Source organism: Homo sapiens, chromosome 7, assembly GCF_000001405.40.
Source record: "Homo sapiens chromosome 7, GRCh38.p14 Primary Assembly".
Classification (NCBI taxonomy): domain Eukaryota; kingdom Metazoa; phylum Chordata; class Mammalia; order Primates; family Hominidae; genus Homo; species Homo sapiens.
Genome location: NC_000007.14, coordinates 98,746,209 through 98,763,594, shown reverse-complemented (window position 1 = coordinate 98,763,594; position 17,386 = coordinate 98,746,209). Strand labels below are relative to the sequence as shown.

The 17,386-nt window shown below is 50.6% G+C and overlaps 3 annotated features.

Annotated features, from left to right (window-relative positions):
- Positions 8,175-8,224: a silencer, noted in NCBI's record as "silent region_18396". NCBI's record gives its function as "represses an Ori minimal core promoter by ATAC-STARR-seq in GM12878 lymphoblastoid cells {active_cell/tissue: GM12878}" and the evidence as "EXISTENCE:reporter gene assay evidence [ECO:0000049][PMID:35858748]".
- Positions 8,585-9,112: an enhancer, noted in NCBI's record as "H3K4me1 hESC enhancer chr7:98383813-98384343 (GRCh37/hg19 assembly coordinates)". NCBI's record gives its function as "activates a minimal SCP1, AML or CMV promoter by ChIP-STARR-seq in naive H9 embryonic stem cells {active_cell/tissue: H9 hESC(naive)}" and the evidence as "EXISTENCE:reporter gene assay evidence [ECO:0000049][PMID:30033119]".
- Positions 9,113-9,643: an enhancer, noted in NCBI's record as "H3K4me1 hESC enhancer chr7:98383282-98383812 (GRCh37/hg19 assembly coordinates)". NCBI's record gives its function as "activates a minimal SCP1, AML or CMV promoter by ChIP-STARR-seq in primed H9 embryonic stem cells {active_cell/tissue: H9 hESC(primed)}" and the evidence as "EXISTENCE:reporter gene assay evidence [ECO:0000049][PMID:30033119]".

Genomic DNA, 17,386 nt, shown 5'->3' with positions numbered 1-17,386 from the left:
ATTTATGCTTTGGGTTTTAATCCATCACTCTATCTTTTAATGCAATATCTAATCTCACTGCTTCTTTTCTTCCTTTAATACGGTTTCTCTGGAGGTGCATTTGCAGAACTGATTTTTATCATTTGCAACGTGTTTAAAATAACGCATTAGCTATAAATCAGAGGGCTTTATTGGGAAGCTTGAAAAGTTGCTTTAAACACAATAAATTTAGTACCTTTGATTCATTCTGGGAAATCTGACAGTAGGAAAAGGAACTGAGGCCCCTTTTAACTCTGGGGACTGGGGAATCATCCTTTCAAGGTGAAAATGGAATACTTTTTCCAGCAGAAGACTTCTTCAAGCTCAAGACTTCCAACTTTCGAGACCAGAATTCAGGAACCGATGTGCCATGTGGGTTGGTAGAATGTGCTAGGAGCCAGGTAAATCTTTTTTTTTTTTTTTTTTTTTTTGAGACAGAGTCTTGCTCTGTCACCCAGGCTGGAGTGCAGTGGCGCAATCTTGGCTCACTGCAACCTCCACCTCCCAGTTCAAGTGATTCTCCTGCCTCAGGCTCCCAAGTAGCTGGGATTACAGGTGGCTGACATCACGCCCAGCTAATTGTTGTAGCTTTAGTAGAGACAGCATTTTGCCATGTCAGCCAGGCTGGTCTCGAACTCCTGACCTCACATGATCCACTTGCCTCCGCCTCCCAAAGTGCTGAGATTACAGGAGTGAGCCACTGTGCCTGGCCTGGAGCCAGGTAAATCTCAAATCTCAGTTCAGCCACTCCCATGCTGTGTGACTTTTGGCTAGTCACACAGCCTCTCTGAACCTGTTTCCCCTCTGTATGCTGAACTGCTTACCTCCAAGGCTGTTGTAAGAATGAATGAGGAGGCCCAGAATACAATAGGTGTTCAAAACATTTTTGTTTACTGAGGTGGGCCCTCAGGGAATCAATACCTCCCTCCCTATTTGGCCCTGGGACTCGGTTCCTCCTGGAAGGAGGGAGGCAGCCTCATCCTTTTCCCAGGCAGAAGCCTCTGGGGTCTGTGCTGCAGCCCTCGCTCCTCCCATAGCATGGAGGGAGTCCACATTCCACCTCCTGCCACATTTCAGAGCCAGCTGCTAGGGATGGCAGGGCTTCCAGACCCCTGTCCCTGCCGCTGGTGCCTTCCCTAGGATGACCTTAGAACTTCCCGGGGTTTCCAGGGAGGTTCTTGCCACCCCTAGTCTCATCTGGAAGAGAACGCATCCCATGCCCCCAGGGCTGGTTAAAAACCCAGGCTGTCTATGAGACCTGTCTTCCTTCTCCACTTCCGACCTGCAAGGAAACTCGAGAGCATCTCCCGCAACCTCCTTGCTGTACAGAGGAGGAAACTGAGGCCCCCACGCTGGGAGGGAGGGGTGCCTGTGTACAAGGCAGGCAGGTGCCACCAGCCCGAAGTCATCACTAGGGTCCTGATGCCCAGCTCCCGACAGCCTCGTGGGGGACCTGGCCAGACAAAGGCAGGATCCAGAAGCCATCCCCCCTGGTCACAGCACACAGCAGCAGGTGCATTTCAGGTCTACAGCACAATATAGTCACAGTAAAACCTGGGAGGGGGTCTTCCACCCTGCACATGTGACATGTACGTGTGTCTATCCCCTTCCCCTCCCCATCTTTTTTTTTTTTTTTTTTTTTTTTTTTTTGACAGAATCTCCGTCTGTCGCTCAGGCTGGAGTGCAGTGGTGCTATCTCAGCTCACTGCATCCTCTGCCTCCTGGTTCAAGCGATTCTCCTGCCTCAGCCTCCTGAGTAGCTGGGATTACAGGCATGCGCACCATGCCCGGCTAATTTTTGTATTTTTAGTAGCGATGGGGTTTCGCCATGTTGGCCAGGCTGGTCTTGACTCCTGACCTCAAGTGATCCTCCCACCTCTGCCTCCCAAAGTGCTGGGATTACAGACGTGAGTCACTGTGCCCGCTGCCCCCGCTCCACCATCCTTAAGGCTCCTACTATGTGCCAGGCTCTGTGCTGAGAATGACATGGCTCAGACCCAGGACCTGCCACTTCTGCCTCTGGTCTCCTGGCTGTCTGAACACAAGAGGTATGCAGGACCCCGGGACCCTTGCACTGGCTGTTTCCCCTGCTGGACAGTTCTTCTCCTGACACCCACTTGGCAAGGAAGTGTCCAGTCTAGGGGAAGGCCAGTCTGGATACAGATGCTCCCAGCTCAGTGGGGACAAGGCTAGGAGTGTCCATGTTCAGAAGTTGTAGATGAGTCATTATTAAAAAAAAAACAAAACAAAAACAATGCTCAGTAAAGCTTAGAAACAAAAGCTTCTTGTGCTGAGGACACAGGCTAAATCCCTAAATTGAAGCCACTGGGTCAGGTCACAGAGGGTCACATAATAAAGGTTCTTCCCGTTATGTCTGTAAAACACCCCACAGCCAGGAAATGTGAGACGGGCTCTTGGAAGATCCCAGGCTGCATCTGGGCAGGCGGATAAAGGTAGTGCTATGTTTCTAAAGCAGCAGAGCCCTGGGGGTTGGGACAGGTTTGAACTGGCAGAGACAGGGTACGGGGAAGGTGGGTTAAACATGGAAGGTGGCTCCCAACACACATGTGAGCCATTAGATCCCTCCATATTTAATCTGTTCGTATTTAACCCCCATGGGATCCATTAGATCCCACCATGTCTAATCTGTATGGGATCCTTCCCTTTCCCCTACCCTTTCCTTCCTGCCTCTCTCATCTTTTCCATGGAGACATCCCTACAATCCCCTCAGCAGGGGCACCAGCAGCCTCTTGTCACCTTCCCAAAGCCTCTGGTTCTTGGGGACATGCTAATGTCACACCTGCTTTGGGAACTCACTCCCAACTGCCCTGGCCCAGAACCCTCCTTCTGTCCTCTCCAACTGTGAAGTGCAGAGGGCAGCCTTGTGAATGGCTCCATTACTGCAGATCCTTACATCTCTCCTGAGAGCTGTGTCAGCTTCTCACCCTGCCCTGGGCCAGGACAAAGTCCAGGAAGAGGCTCACATGTGGCCGCCTTGCCTCCAGGACCGCTTTTCACACGGGCAGCTGGGAACGAGGCCACGTTAGGCTGGGAGCTCCTTCCAGAAACAACACTGATGAAATTAAGGGGGGTAAATGGATCCCAGCATTGTTACCAGCAAGACATTTGGGGAACATAAATTTCACAGGGAATTAGTCACTCTAAACTGCTTTATTTGGTTTCAACTTAGAATAGCACTTAAATTATTCAGCTAGGGAGGGGGAGGAAGGGGGCAGGAAGGAGTTGCCAGGCCCTGTATCAACCTTAAGGAGTCATGGGCGGAAAAGCAGTGACATCTGTCTGGGGGTGGCCGTTGGTAGCTTGTGGGCCGCCTGGATTCCTTCTGAATTTGGTAAAAGCCCCCAGGATGTGAGACGCAAAGGCACGACTTCGCATCAGTAACACACGAGTTTCGTTTTACTCCACGCCCGTGCAGAAGCTTGGGAGAGGTGATGCTGTTATTCCTCCTGTCTTACGAACCTCTCTCTTGACCCCCTACCTACTCCAGCCACTGCCCCATATACTGTTTTGCTTTGCAAAAAAACTCCTCCCTGGCTCCAACGCTCTCTTGCCCTCCATCCACTGCACCCCCACTCTTAACCCCTCCATGAAGGCTTTGCCTGCCCTACTCCAAGGAAACTGCCCCCCCACCAAGGCCCCGTGACCTCCAAGGTAGATTCTTTGTCCTCAGCCCATTTGACTTGGAAGCCACATTGGGCACAGTTGCTCTCTCTGTCCTCCCAGGAAAACTTTCTTCCCTCGGTTTCCTGGCCCCTAAATCTGCTTTGCCTCCTAACCTGCCGGCTGGTTTCTCCTGATTCCTCCCAGTCCCCACCAACCTTCTATCTTTAGGCCCCAGGGCTCGGACCCTGGACCTCTTGCTCTTTCTACTCTCCCTCTCGTGGGGAGCTCGTATGGTCTGATGGCATTAAAACCATCAATTCACCAATGACCCCTAAACTGATATCTCCAGGGTAGATTCCCCTTAAGCTGCAGACTTGTACATACAACTGCGTTTTGGACTTCTGCACCTGGATGTCTAGTTAGGTATCTGAAACTTACCATCTCCCAGAATATGAATTTCTGGACCTCCTCCCTGTACCTGCAAACCACCCCAAGGGACCTCTTCATCTAGTTAATAGCAACTCCACTCTTTCAGTTGCTATCCTGGGCCCAATCCTGGGTGATCTCTGATTCATCTCTTCCTCCATATCTAATCCACATGGAATTCATTAAATCTCTCCATATCCAACCCACATGGGAGCCATTAGATCCCTCCATATTTAACCCACATGGGAGAATCAGATCCCACCATATCTAATCTGCACGAGATCCATTAGATCTCCTATATCTAAGCCACATGGAATCGATTAGATCCCACCATGTCTATTCTGTATGGGATCCATTGGATCTCCCCATATCTAATCTGCATGGGACCCATTAGATCCCCTACATCTAACCCACATGTAACCCATTAGATCCCCCATATCTAATCCGCATGGAATCCATTAGATCCACCCATATATCTAACCCACGTGGAATCCATTAGATCCCCCCATACCTAACCCACACGGGATCAATTAGATCCCCCATATCTAACCCACATGGAATCAATTAGATCCCCCATATCTAACCCACATGGGATCCATTAGATCCCCCCATATCTAACCCACATGGAATCCATTAGATCCCCCATATCTAACTCACATGGAATCCATTAGATCCCCCCATATCTAACCCACATGGAATCCATTAGATCCCTCCATATCTATCCCACATGGAATCAATTAGATCCCTCCATATCTAACACACATGGAACCATTAGATCCCATCCATGCATAAATACATAATCCATCTGCAAGTCCCATTGGCTCCACTTTCAAAATGTATCTAGAATCCAACCTCCTGTGCTCCCATCCTCATCCAAGCCACCACCACCTGTCCCCTAGATTGCTGCATTAGCACTCCCTACGTCCACCTCGTCCCCACAATCTAATCACAGGAGAATGGCCCAAGGAAAAGCCTATGGGGGGGTGTCGGGTTCGTGTCTCTCCTTCTCTGTTCAAAACCCTCCAGAGACTCATGTCGCAGAGCAAAGTCCTTTCCAGGACTGGCAGCCCCCACTTCTGAACTCTCTCCTCTGTGCTCAAGCCACTTCTCCTGCTGCTGGTCTCCTTGATGTCTAAACACATAGAGGCATGCTCAGCCTCAGGGCCTTTGCACTGCTGTTCTCTCTGCTGGATGAGGCTCCCAGACACCCATGTGGCTCATTCCCTCATCTCCTACAGGTCTTTGCTCATCTGTCACCTTCTCAACGAGGCCTGCTCTGATCATTCCAACTTGAAATTCAGCCTCCAAGCCCTGTACGCTACCCCTCCTACCTCCATCAGGCTTTTAGTAGCACAATCTTCTAATATACCACATAGTTTACCCTAAATATTATGTTTGAAAGTTATCTCTGGCTAAGTGCGGTGGCTCATGCCTGTAATCCCAGCACTTTGGGAGGCCGAGGCAGGTGGATCACCTGAGGTCAGGAGTTTGAGATCAGCCTGGGCGACATGGCGAAAACCCATCTCTATTAAAAATAGAAAAATTAGTCAGGTGTGGTGACGGATGTCTGTAATCCCAGCTACTTGGGAGGCTGAGGCTGGAGAATCTCTTGAACCCGGAGGCAGAGGTTGCAGTGAGCTGAGCTCGCACCATTGCACTCCAGCCTGGGCAACAAGAGCAAAACTCTGTCTCAAAAAAAAAATAAAAAAATGCCAGGCGCAGTGGCTCACACCTGTAATCCCAGCACTTTGGGAGGCTGAGGGGGGCAGATCATGAGGTCAGGAGATCAAGACCATTCTGGCTAACATGGTGGAAACCTCGTCTCTACTAAAAAATAGAAAAAATTAGCCGGGCGTGGTGGCGGGCACCTGTAGTCCCAGCTGCTCGGGAGGCTGAGGCAGGAGAATGGCGTGAACCTGGGAGGCGGAGCTTGCAGTGAGCCAAGGTCACGCCACTGCACTCCAGCCTGGGCAACGGAGCAAGACTCTGTCTCAAAAAAAAAAAAAAGATAAAAATAAAAAAACCGAAAATTATCTCTTTCCTCCACTAGAATATAAGTTCCATGAAGCCAGGGTTTTTTACTTCTTCTTTTGTTCTTTTACTTTTTTAGAGACAGAGTCTTACTCTGTCACTCAAGCTGGAGTAGAGTGGTGTGATCATAGTTCACAGAAGTTTCAAACTCCTGGGCTCAAGTGATCCTCTCACCTCAGCCTCCTGAGCGGCTGGGACTACAGGCATGCACTACCATGTGTGGCTTTATTTTTAGTAGAGATGGGGGTCTCACTACGTTGCCCAGGCTGGTCTCAAACTCCTGGCCTCAAGTGATCCTCCCACCTCGGCCTCCCAAAGCACTGGGACTTCCCAAAGTGCCATCATGCCTGGATGAGTTTTTATTTCCTTGCTCCCTGCTGTGTCGTTGGTTCCTAGAACAGTGCCTGACACATAGTAGATGCTCAATAAACATGTGCTGAATGAAAAATCCATGCCATGAGGTGTTGGATAGACTTTAGAACCTGTGATGTGGTTCTGTCTCCAGCTCTGCAGGCAGGTGGCCATGCGCTAGTTTTTTACCCTCAGGAGCTTCTGTTTGCCATTATCCACAATGGGCGGAGCTCCAACAGGCATCTGCAGGGAGGTGAGATGAAATGGGCAAACTGTCTAGCACTGTGCTTGCTGTGTGGCAATATCTCTAGAAACGTGGGGGCCATGGCAGTGGCACATGTCTGTAATCCCAATGCTTTGGAAGGCCGAGGCAGGAGGACCGCTTGACCCCAGGAGTTTGAGACCAGCCTGGGCAACATAGTGAGACCCTGTCTCTACAAAAAATTTAAAAAATTTGTCAGACATGGTGGCACATGCCTGTGTCTAATCTGTATGGGATCCATTGGATCCCCACATCAAACCCACATGGAATCCATTACATACCCCCATATCTAATCTGCATGGACAGCTACTCAGGAGGCTGAGGTGGGAGGACAGATCTCTTGAGCCCAGGAGGTTGAAGTTGCAGTGAGCCATGATTGCTCCACTGCACTCCAGCCTGGGTGACACAGCGAGACTCCGTCTCAAAAAAAAAAAGTTTGTAAACTGTGAAGTGCTGGACAGTGACATGTGGATGGTGACCATGCAGGTCCTTATTTTGGGAGAATCTGCTTGGGTCTGGGCAAGTGAGCCAGGATTAAACCTGCTGGGGGAGGGGGAGATACAAGGAATGGAGCCTGGGGTCCAGAGCTAAAGTCAGGTCACCCAGTCCCTGTGCTGTTAGGTGGGTACCTCGGGGACCCCTGCATCCAACATCAGCCTGAACACGCTCCCTTTCTCCCTTATGCCTTGGGTGTTACAAATATCCCTGCCCAGATGAGCACTCCTTCTACCAGGAGTCTGCAGCTGGATTTCTTGGTGAAATTAACAGGAGATTCTGGGATGTTCTGAGAACCCCAACCTGGGTCCTCTGTGGGAGTCAGGGATGCCCGGGGGCTGTGGGATCCGGAGCAGCTCCGTGAGGCATTCCCAGCAGGAGGCCTGATCAGACCCTCAAGTTGGAGAGTAATTAACTTGCTTAATTAAAGCATGCAGGCATAGGGCTCCTGCGGGGACGCGCTGGGGGGCTACGTGACATCCACCCTAGAAAGAGTTTCATGTGCTGTGGGTACGGCACCATCAGGGAGTGGTGGGGAAAACTAATTAAGAAGCAGGTTTGGGGAGCACAGCCCTTGGGAACCATAGCCTGGCAGGAGGGCTGGGGGCCCGGATGCTGGTTGGGGCACATGGGAGGGTGCATGTCCCTGGAATGCCCCAGCCATGTGGGTTTGGGGTTGGAAGGGAGACAGGCAGTGCCTGCTGGGCTCTGTGGTAGGCTCTGTGGAGCTGGCAGGCTGTTTGGCATCTGCTTCATCACATTCTGTTCCTTGAAATGCCAGGGCAGCCCTCCTTCCTCCTGAACTACAGGACAAGGCAGCTGAGCTGACTGTGGGAGGTGGAGAAGGTGCCTGGGTATGCCGGAGCCTCAGGGTGTGAGAGTCACTTCCCTGGACCAGGAGGGTGGCTCCAGAGAGAGCCACACAGCAGCCAGCCCCCCACCCAGCACCGGACTCCTGCCACAGGCCACGTGCCCTGCCGGCTCCACCTTGAGACCTTGGTCCCCGCTCGTCCCTTGGGTGGGGACACTCCCTGTGCTCTGCCTGCCCTTCTGCATCTCCACAGAAGCCCTGACCACTGTCCCATGCTGCCATCTGCTGACCCCCAGGGCCCTTCCCTCAATGCTCTGCACGCCAGGGGCTGGGGGGCGGTGACTTCTCATGCAGATTGTAGCCCCTGGGGATGCACCTGCTGAGGCTGGCTGTCAGTCATTCACTCAGCAACTGTCCTGCATCTGCAGTGTACCCAGCTGTCTTGGGTACTGCAGATGGCAGCGAGGAAAACATTGTTTCTCCTCCTGCAGGAACTCCATCCTCATGGGCTGGGAGGGGCGGGAGAGGGGAAAGGGGAAGGTTGTGTCCGGTAGTGCTATGTGCCACATTAGGGTAGGAAGGTGGCATCAGGAGTGGTCAGGGAAGACCATTCTGTGCGGGGGGGGGGGCGGGGGGGGGCGGGGGGGGGCGCGGTTCATGAGCTGAATTGCATCCCTCCCAATTCATAGGTTCAAGTCTTAACCCCCAGTACTTCAGAATGTGGCTGCATTTGCAGATACAATCCTTAAGGGGATAATTAAGTTTCATTGGGGGTCATCAGGGTGGGCTCTAATCCAACAGGACTGGTGTCATTATAAGAGGTGAGGACATAGACACACATAGAGGGATGACCATATGAGGACACAGAGAAGACGGCTGTCCACAAGCCAAGGACAGACACACAAGTCCTGTTGTATCAATCTTGAATTTCTGGCCTCCAGAATGGTGAGACTAAACATTTCTGTTGTTTAAGCCCCGCAGTTTGTAGGACTTTGTAAGGGCGGCCCCAGGAAACCAACACAGGGATCTCTGAGTACAGGCTCTGGGCAATGGGAGAATGAGCCTGGGGGCTGCCTGGGAAGTGTTCCGGGCTAAGGCCTGAGGTGGGAGCTGCTGGGGTGTTCCGGGACCAGCCAGGAGGTGACTGAGGCTGGAGCTGGAGTCAGGCTGCAGGGAGGGGGGTGGAGGCTGTGACCTGCCTGATGGGTTCCTGGCACCTCAGGATTGCAGGGGCCAGGACCCAAGCAGAGGGATGCAGTCCAGCAAGTGGGTGAGGTGGGCGGGGCTCAGACACCAGACCAAATTGAGGACTACCTAAAACAGGTCCTGGGCGGAAGCCGCTTTCTATAAGACATGCCCATCCCTGTGCCATGTCAGTTTACCGTTGCTATGGCAACACCAGGAAGTTACTGCCCCTTTCCATGGCAACAGTCCTGACAACCAGGAAGTTGCCACCCCTTTCCTAGAAATCTCTGCATAAACTGCCCCTTAATTTGCATATAATTAAAAGTGGCTATAAATAGGGCTGCCGCACTGCCTCTGAGCTGCTGCTCTTGGCACACTGCCTATGGGGTAGCTCTGCTCTGCAATAAATGTTGCTGTCTAGGCTGGGCACGGTGGCTCATGCCTGTAATCCCAGCACTTCTGGGAGGCCGAGGTGGGCAGATCACCTGAGGTCAGGAGTTCCAGACCAGCTTGGCCAACATGGCAAAACCCTGTCTCTACTAAAAATACAAAAAAAAAAAAAAAAAGAAAGAAAGAAAGAAATTAGCTGGGCATGGTGGCATGTGCCTGTAATCCCAACTACTCAAGAGGCTAAGGCAGGAGAATCCCTTGAACCCTGGAGGTGGAGGTTGCAGTGAGCCAAGATCACGCCATTGCACTCCAGCCTGGGCGACAGAGCAAGACTCTATCTCAAAAAATAAAAATAAAAAACCCAAACAACAACAACAACAACAAAAGTTGCTGTCTAATGCCACTGTTTTGCCCTTGAATTCTTCCTAGTCCTAGCCAAGAATGTTGTCAGTCATTTACTCAGTAGCCATCTAGCCCCTGCAGGGCACCTGGCTGTCTTGGGTTCTGTGGACGGTAGGGCTAAGCCCCAACTTTGGGGCTCACCTGCCCTGCATCACAAGGAGAATATTCCCGGGAGACCTCCAGCACGAGGCCACTGCTGCATGCCCCAGGTGACTGTGGGTGGTTGAGGCAGCAGTGGCCCTGCCCATGTGAAGCCAGGTTCTGCCCAGAGTGTGTGCCTGCCTACATGTGCACGGCCTCAGCCTCACAAAATCTACCCGCTCACATTCATGGTGAGCCCTATCCAGTGGAAGAGCTGGGCTCCATGGACAGGGAGCTCCTCGGGGGAGGAGCTATGAGAACACAGGCCCAACGTGGGGTACAGGTTGGAGGATTGGGGAGCTGGGCAGAACAGAGCCTGGTACAGGATGGGGTTAGGCCAGCGGGGCCTACAGACAGGTGCTGGTTTAATCAGACTAAACCCTCTCGAGCTGCTTCCTTCCAGCCACAGACTGTTCTGTGTCCACACTGACCTGAGGCCCGGGTTCACCTTCTGGCCATGGTGGGGAGATGCTGGGCGCACCTAGGTCTGCACGGCTGCTGTCTGTGACCATGCCTTCTGAAAAACCCACCTTGAGAATTGTTAGTCCACACTGCACCTTTTTTTTTTTTTTTTGAGGCAGAGTTTTGCTCTTGTCACCCAGGCTGGAGTGCAGTGGTGCGATCTCGGCTCACTACAACCGTTGCCTTCTGGCTTCAAGCGATTCTCCTGCCTCAGCCTCCTGAGTAGCTGGGATTACAGGCACCCGCCACCACGCCTGGCTAAGTTTTTGTATTTTTGGTAGAGATGGGGTTTCACCATGTTGGCCAGGCTGGTCTCAAATTCCTGACCTCATGTGATCCGCTCGCCTCGGCCTCCCATAGTGCTGGGATTACGGGCTGAGCCACTGCACCACCCGGCCCAAACTGTACCATTTTGTAAGCCCCCTGCCATTTCGCAGACTTTGGTCAAAGTGAAACATCTCACGGGGGTTCGGGCGGTGAGGTGAGAAACAGCCCGCCCAGCTGCCTGACTTGATCACATTCTGTTGGGAAAAAGTCCGAGGAACATCACTATCTCATTCTGTGGGAACAAGGGTCAAACTGCCTCATCATGGGAACGTCTTATAAACATCTTCCCAGGCTGCAAGCCACACTGCCCAGACCCCTCCCGTGCATACCTGTAAGTACCGCAGCCTGTAGGTGATGGTAGGCACTGGCATTAAGCCGGTGCCCCACCTCTGTAGGTCTTATGCTGGACATAAAGCCTGCATTTGCTGTAGAGCCTCCACGCTCTTTCTTTAACCCTCACCTTCCCTTCAAAACCTAATAAGAATGATCTCCCAGGATCCTCCCCACCACGCTGGCCTCCTGGTCCCTCTTGTGTGCTGGGCAGTTCTGGGCCTTGGGGTGGTTCAGAGCCCTCCCGATTGGCTAAGCATTTCCCCTAATCTCTATCACATTCTCAACTCCTAAACAGAATCCGGCTTCTCCGGGAAGAATTGGCAACTGGCTGGATGGGAAAACACAGCTCGAGTCTCAGATGCATCTGGGAATCACCTTGTCTGGGGCCTGGCTGTCTCTTCCCTGCCGTTCGTTGGAGCCTGCCCTGGGCTGTTGCCTGGGCTGCAGGGATCCTGAGCGGCTGAACCAGGAGGAAACTCTGTCCGGATCCTCCCTGGGGGCCCTGGTATGCAGCTCTCATCAGCAGCCCCAGCCCCGCTCATCACCACTTCCCTCCAGACACATTGGATCTCCACTTATTTGGTCTTTGGTTTCTCTCAATAATATTTCACAGTGTTCTGAGTAGAAGTCTTATGTCCCTTAGCTCTTAAGAAATTGCCCCCCGTCTCTACTAAAAATACAAAAAATTAGCCGGGCGTGGTGGCGGGTGCCTGTAGTCCCAGCTACTCGGGAGGCTGAGGCAGGAGAATGGCGTGAACCCGGGAGGCGGAGCTTGCAGTGAGCCGAGATTGCGCCACTGCACTCCGGCCTGGGCAAAAGAGCGAGACGAAACTACAATAAGAAATTGCCAAACTATATTCCAAAGTGGCTGTGCTATATTCTGTTCCCACTAGCAGCGAATGGGAGTTAGAAAGGTTCCATATCCTGGCCAGGTGGCTCATGCCTGTAATCCCAGCACTTTGGGAGGCCGAGGCGGGTGGATCACCTGAGGTCAAGAGTTCGAGACCAGCCTGACCAGCATGGTGAAACCCTGTCTCTACTTAAAAAAAAAAAAAAAAAAAAAAAAAAAAAATTAGCCAGGCATGGTGGCGCATGCCTGTAATCCCAGCTACTTGGGAGGCTGAGGCAGGAGAATCACTTCAACCCGGGAGGCGGAGGTTGCAGTGAGCCAAGATCATGCCATTGAACTCCAGCTTGAGCAATAGAGTGAGACTCCATCTCGAAAAATATATATATATAAAAGAAATGTTCCATATGCTTGCCAACACTTGCTTTTTGTTGCTTGTTTGTATTAGAGACAGGGTCTTGCTCTGTCGCCCAGGTGGGACGGTGGTGGCATGACCATAGCTCACTACAGCCTCAAACTCCTGGGTTCAAGTGATTCTCCCACCTCAACCTCCTGAGTAGCTGGGACTGTAGGTGCACACCACCATGCCCATCTAATTTATTTTAATTTTTTGTAGAGATAGGATCTCTCTATGTTGCCCAGGCTGGTCTCAAACTCCTGAGATCAGGTGATCCTCCCACCTTAGCCTCCCAAAGTGTTGGGATTACAGGCGTGAGCCACCACACCTGGCCATCAACCCCTGTTAATGTTCATCTTTTTCATTACCTATCCTAGTGGGTATGAAGCGTTGTCTCGTTGGTAAGTATCTCTAATAGTCTAATGACTAAGCATGGTGAGTATCTTTCCATGGGCTTCTTGGCTATGTGTATACCTTCTTTGGAGAAATATTCATCCAAATCTCTTGCCATTCAAAAAATTGGGTTAGCTTTCTTCTTTATGGTTGAGTTGTAAGAGTTCTTGTTTTCTGAATTCTAGACTTTTATCTAGATATATGATTTGCAAACATTTTGCCCATTTTTTAGGTCGTCTTTTCAGTTTCTTGATGGTATCCTTTGAAACACAGAAGTTTTAAATTTTGATGAGGTTCAATTTGTCTGTTTTCTTCTTTGGTTGTTTTGTGCTTTAGGTGTCAGATCTAGGTACGTTCCTTTACTTTTAACCGAGTGGAGTTTCTGTATTTAAAGTGGGTATGTTGTAGATCGCATATTGTTAAGTCTTGTTTTACCTTTTTATCCACTCTGACAATTTCTGTTTTTTAAACGATACATTTATATTATTTGCCTTTAAAATGATGATTTCTATAGTTGGATTAATATCTGCCATGTTTGTAGCTGTTTCTAATTTTTGCAGTTTGTTTCTTTTCTCTCTCTCTCTTTTTTTTTTTTTTTTTTTTTTGAGGCGGAGTTTTGCTGTTTGGCCCAGGCTGGAGTGCAGTGGTGAGATCTCGGCTCACTGCAACCTCTGCCTCCCAGGTTCAAGCGATTCTCGTGCCTCAGTCTCTTGAGTAGCTGGGATTACAGTTGCCCTTCACCATTCCAGGCTACTTTTTGTATTTTGAGTAAAGATGGGGTTTCACTTTGTTACCCAGGCTGGTCTCACACTCCTCTGGGCTCACGTGATCCTCCTGCCTCTGCGTCCCAAAGTGCTGGGATTACAGATGTGTGCCACCGCACCCAGCCTGCACTTTGTTTCTTATTATTCTGCCTCCTGTGGTTTTTATCTTTTTATTTTTATTTTTATTTTTTTGATGGGGTATTACTCTGTCAACCAGGCTGGAGGGCAGTGGTGTAATCTCGGCTCACTGCAACATCTACCTCCCAGGTTCAAGTGATTCTCCTGCCTCAGTCTCCCGAGTAGCTGGGACTACAGGCACACGCCATCATACCCAACTAATTTTTGTAGTTTAAAAACAAAATTTTTTTTTTGAGATGGAGTTTTGTTCTTGTTGCCCAGGCTGGAGTGCAATGGCACGATCTCGGCTCACTGCAACCTCCGCCTCCTGGGTTCAAGTGATTCTCCTGCCTCAGCCTCCTGAGTAGCTGGGATTACAGGCATGTGCCACCACACCTGGCTGATTTTTGTATTTTTATTTATTTATTTTTTTTGTGGTAGAGACGGGGTTTCATCATGTTGGCCAGGCTGGTCTCGAACTCCTGACCTCAGGTGATCCTCCCACCTTGGCCTCCTAAAGTGCTGGGATTACAGGAGTGAGCCACTGCGCCCAGCCGTATGGTTTTAATTAAGCATTTTATTATTTCCTTTTGTTTACTCTCACAGCATCTCATTTATACTTAATTTTGTTTTCTTAGTGGTTCCCCTAGAGTTTGTGATACACAGATGCTCTTTGACTTAGGTGGGGTCATGCTCCAGTAAGCCCATCATAAATTGAAAAAGCCATAAACAGAAGATGCATTTAATACATGTTAATCTACCAGACATCGCCACTTAGCCTTGCCTACCTTAAAAGTGCCCAGAACACTTACCTTAGCCTCCAGTTGGCAAAATTACCTGGCGACACAGAACACTGTAGGGTATTGGTTGTCTACCCTGGTGATCACATGGCTTCCTGGGAGCTGCAGCTGCTCAGCGTTGAGAGAGTATTGGACTGCATAGCACTAGACCCAGACGAGATCGAAATTCAAAGTATGGATTCTACCGAATAGGTTTCCCTTTCACACCACTGCAAAGTTGAAAAATTATAAGTTGAGCCACTGTGAAGTGGGGACTGTCTGAACATTTTCTTTCTTTTCTTTTCTTTTCTGACAGAGTCCTGCTCTGTTGCCCAGGCTGCAGTGCAGTGGCACGATCTTGGCTCACTGCAACCTCTGCCTCCCAGGTTCAAGCAATTATTTGCCTCAGCTTCCTGAGTAGCTGGGGTTACAGGCGCCCACCACCATGCCTGCCTAATTTTTGTATTTTTAGTAGAGATGGGGTTTCACCATCTTGGCCAGGCTGGTCTTGAACTCCTCACCTTGTGATCCACCTGCCCCAGCCTCCCAAAGTGCTGGGATTACAGGTGTGAGGCAACGTGCCCAGCCCTCTCTTTTTCTTTTTCTCTCTCCTTCCTTCCTTCTACACTTCCCTCTCTCCCTCCCTTTCTCTCTCTCCCCTTCCTTCCTTCTCTCCCTCTCTCTCTTCCTTCCTTCTCTCCTTCCCTTTCTCTTCCCCCATTCCTTCCTCTCTCCCTCCCTGCCTCTCCCTCTTTCTCCTTTCTCTCCTTCCTTTCTTCTCTTCTTCCCTCTTTCTCTCCCTCCCTCCCTGCCTCTACTTCCCTCTCTTTCTCTTCCTTCTCTCCTTCCCTTCCTCTCTCCCTCCCTCCCTCTCCTTCCTTCTTTCCCTCTTTCCCCTCTCTCCTTCCTTTCCTCCCTCTCTCTGTATTTTTGCAGCAGGGTCTCACTCCATCCAGATGGGACACCGTGAACACAGCAGCTAGATGGAACATAGGCTGGGGATTGGGCAGAACTGAGTGTGAATTGCAACACTGACCTTGAGATTTGACCTTGGCCTTAGGCAAGTCACTTAACTTCTCTGTTTCCTCATCCGCAAGGCAGTAATAATACGTACCTTGCAGGGAGGTTGTGCAAAGTGAAGGAGATGAGAGAGTGCTCAACCTGGTACAAACCTACAATAAATTGCAGCGATGATGGTAATAACTATAAGTTCCCTGAGTGGCATTGTTCTCTCATTGTTCACCCTCTACCCACCCACTCTAACCCAAATGCAGAACAGCTGCTGCGCAGGTCCCCTTGGGCCCACATCTGCCTTTGACCTAGTATAGGCAGTTGCTAGTTTGTTTTTTCTTTCTCTGAGATTGTCCTTCAGCCTCATCTCTATACCTCAGGGTTAACCTGTTAACCTCAGGTTAACAGGTTAACCCTGCAAGACTTGGGGACAGGCTGTGTGGCTTGCTCCCTTTTTCACAGTAACTCCTCAGGACCCACAACCTTGAAGGAGCCCTGCAGATGCAGCCAGGAAGCCTAGCTTCAAAGGCACAAGGTGTGCACATTTGCCTTTGATTGAGAATGAGTAGTCTGGTGCACCTTTCTTTAATTTAGATAGGAGCCCACAATTTGTCAAGAGACAAATGGATGCGGGGCGTGGGAGGAACACAATTCAATGCTCTTCGGGTTTGGATGGTGAACAGATGTGCAATTCCTGGCTCTTCCAAGCTGTTGTCCGCAGACATGAGAATCACCTGCACACTCTCCACTTTGCACAATGAGAAGGAACAAGGTTGGAATAGACCCAGGGGATGTGCCTACAGGGTGTGGAACCTTCTAAGTCACCTTCAGAAAAGGCTCTGCCTAAAGAGAAGAACCGTATTGCTCAGAGCAAGGCATTGACTTCTGGTTGGATTGTAAGATCCACAGGCTGGCCACCCTGGTGGTCCTCCTGCTCTGCTGATGTGTCCCCATGTAACTGCCCCCTCATCCCAGCAGGTCAGATGATCACAGACACAGCCCCCATCCCAGCTGGCAGCGGATGGGACCCCTGATTACAGGAGACTTTTGGCTGGGGAGAGTCTAAGAGGGGACAGGCTGCAGAGAAAGTGTGAGAGGCACCATCTGCAGCAATGTCCTGGGTCAAAGCCCCTGCCCCAGGGTCCAGTGGGGAGGCTACCTCTCTAGGCTCAAACTAGAACTGCTTTAAGGGAGACAGGGGCCTTGTAGGGGAGACACTTCCATGGTAGAAAGGCCCCAGCCCCTGGCAGGGGAGGCTATGATCCAGGCCTGCACACTGCTATGTCCTGGGATCAACTGTCTCTCATACCTAGATCCATATGTTGAAATTCTAAACCCCAGGACCTCAGAATGTGACTTTGTTTAGAAACGGGGTCTTTACAGAGTTATAAATGAGGCTGGGTGTGGTGGCTCATGCCTATACTTCCAACACTTTGGGAGGCTGAGGTGGGAGGATCGTTGGAGCCCAGGAGTTTGAGACCAGCCTGGGCAACAAAGTGAGACCTGAACTCTACAAAAAAATAAAAATAAAAACATTAGCTGGGGATGGTGGCTCCCCCTTGTAATTCCAGCACTTTGGGAGGCCAAGGTGGGAGGATCACTTGAGTCCAGGAGTTATGGACTAGCCTCAGCAACAAAGAGCGACCCCAACTCTACAAAAAAATCAGAAAAATTAGCTGGGCGCGGTGCCTTCCATTTGTAATTCCAGCACTTTGGGAGGCCAAGGTGGGAGGATCACTTGAGTCCAGGAGATAGAGACTAGCCTGGGCAACATAGTGAGGCCTCATCTCTAAAAAAATAAAATAAAATTAGGCAGGCAT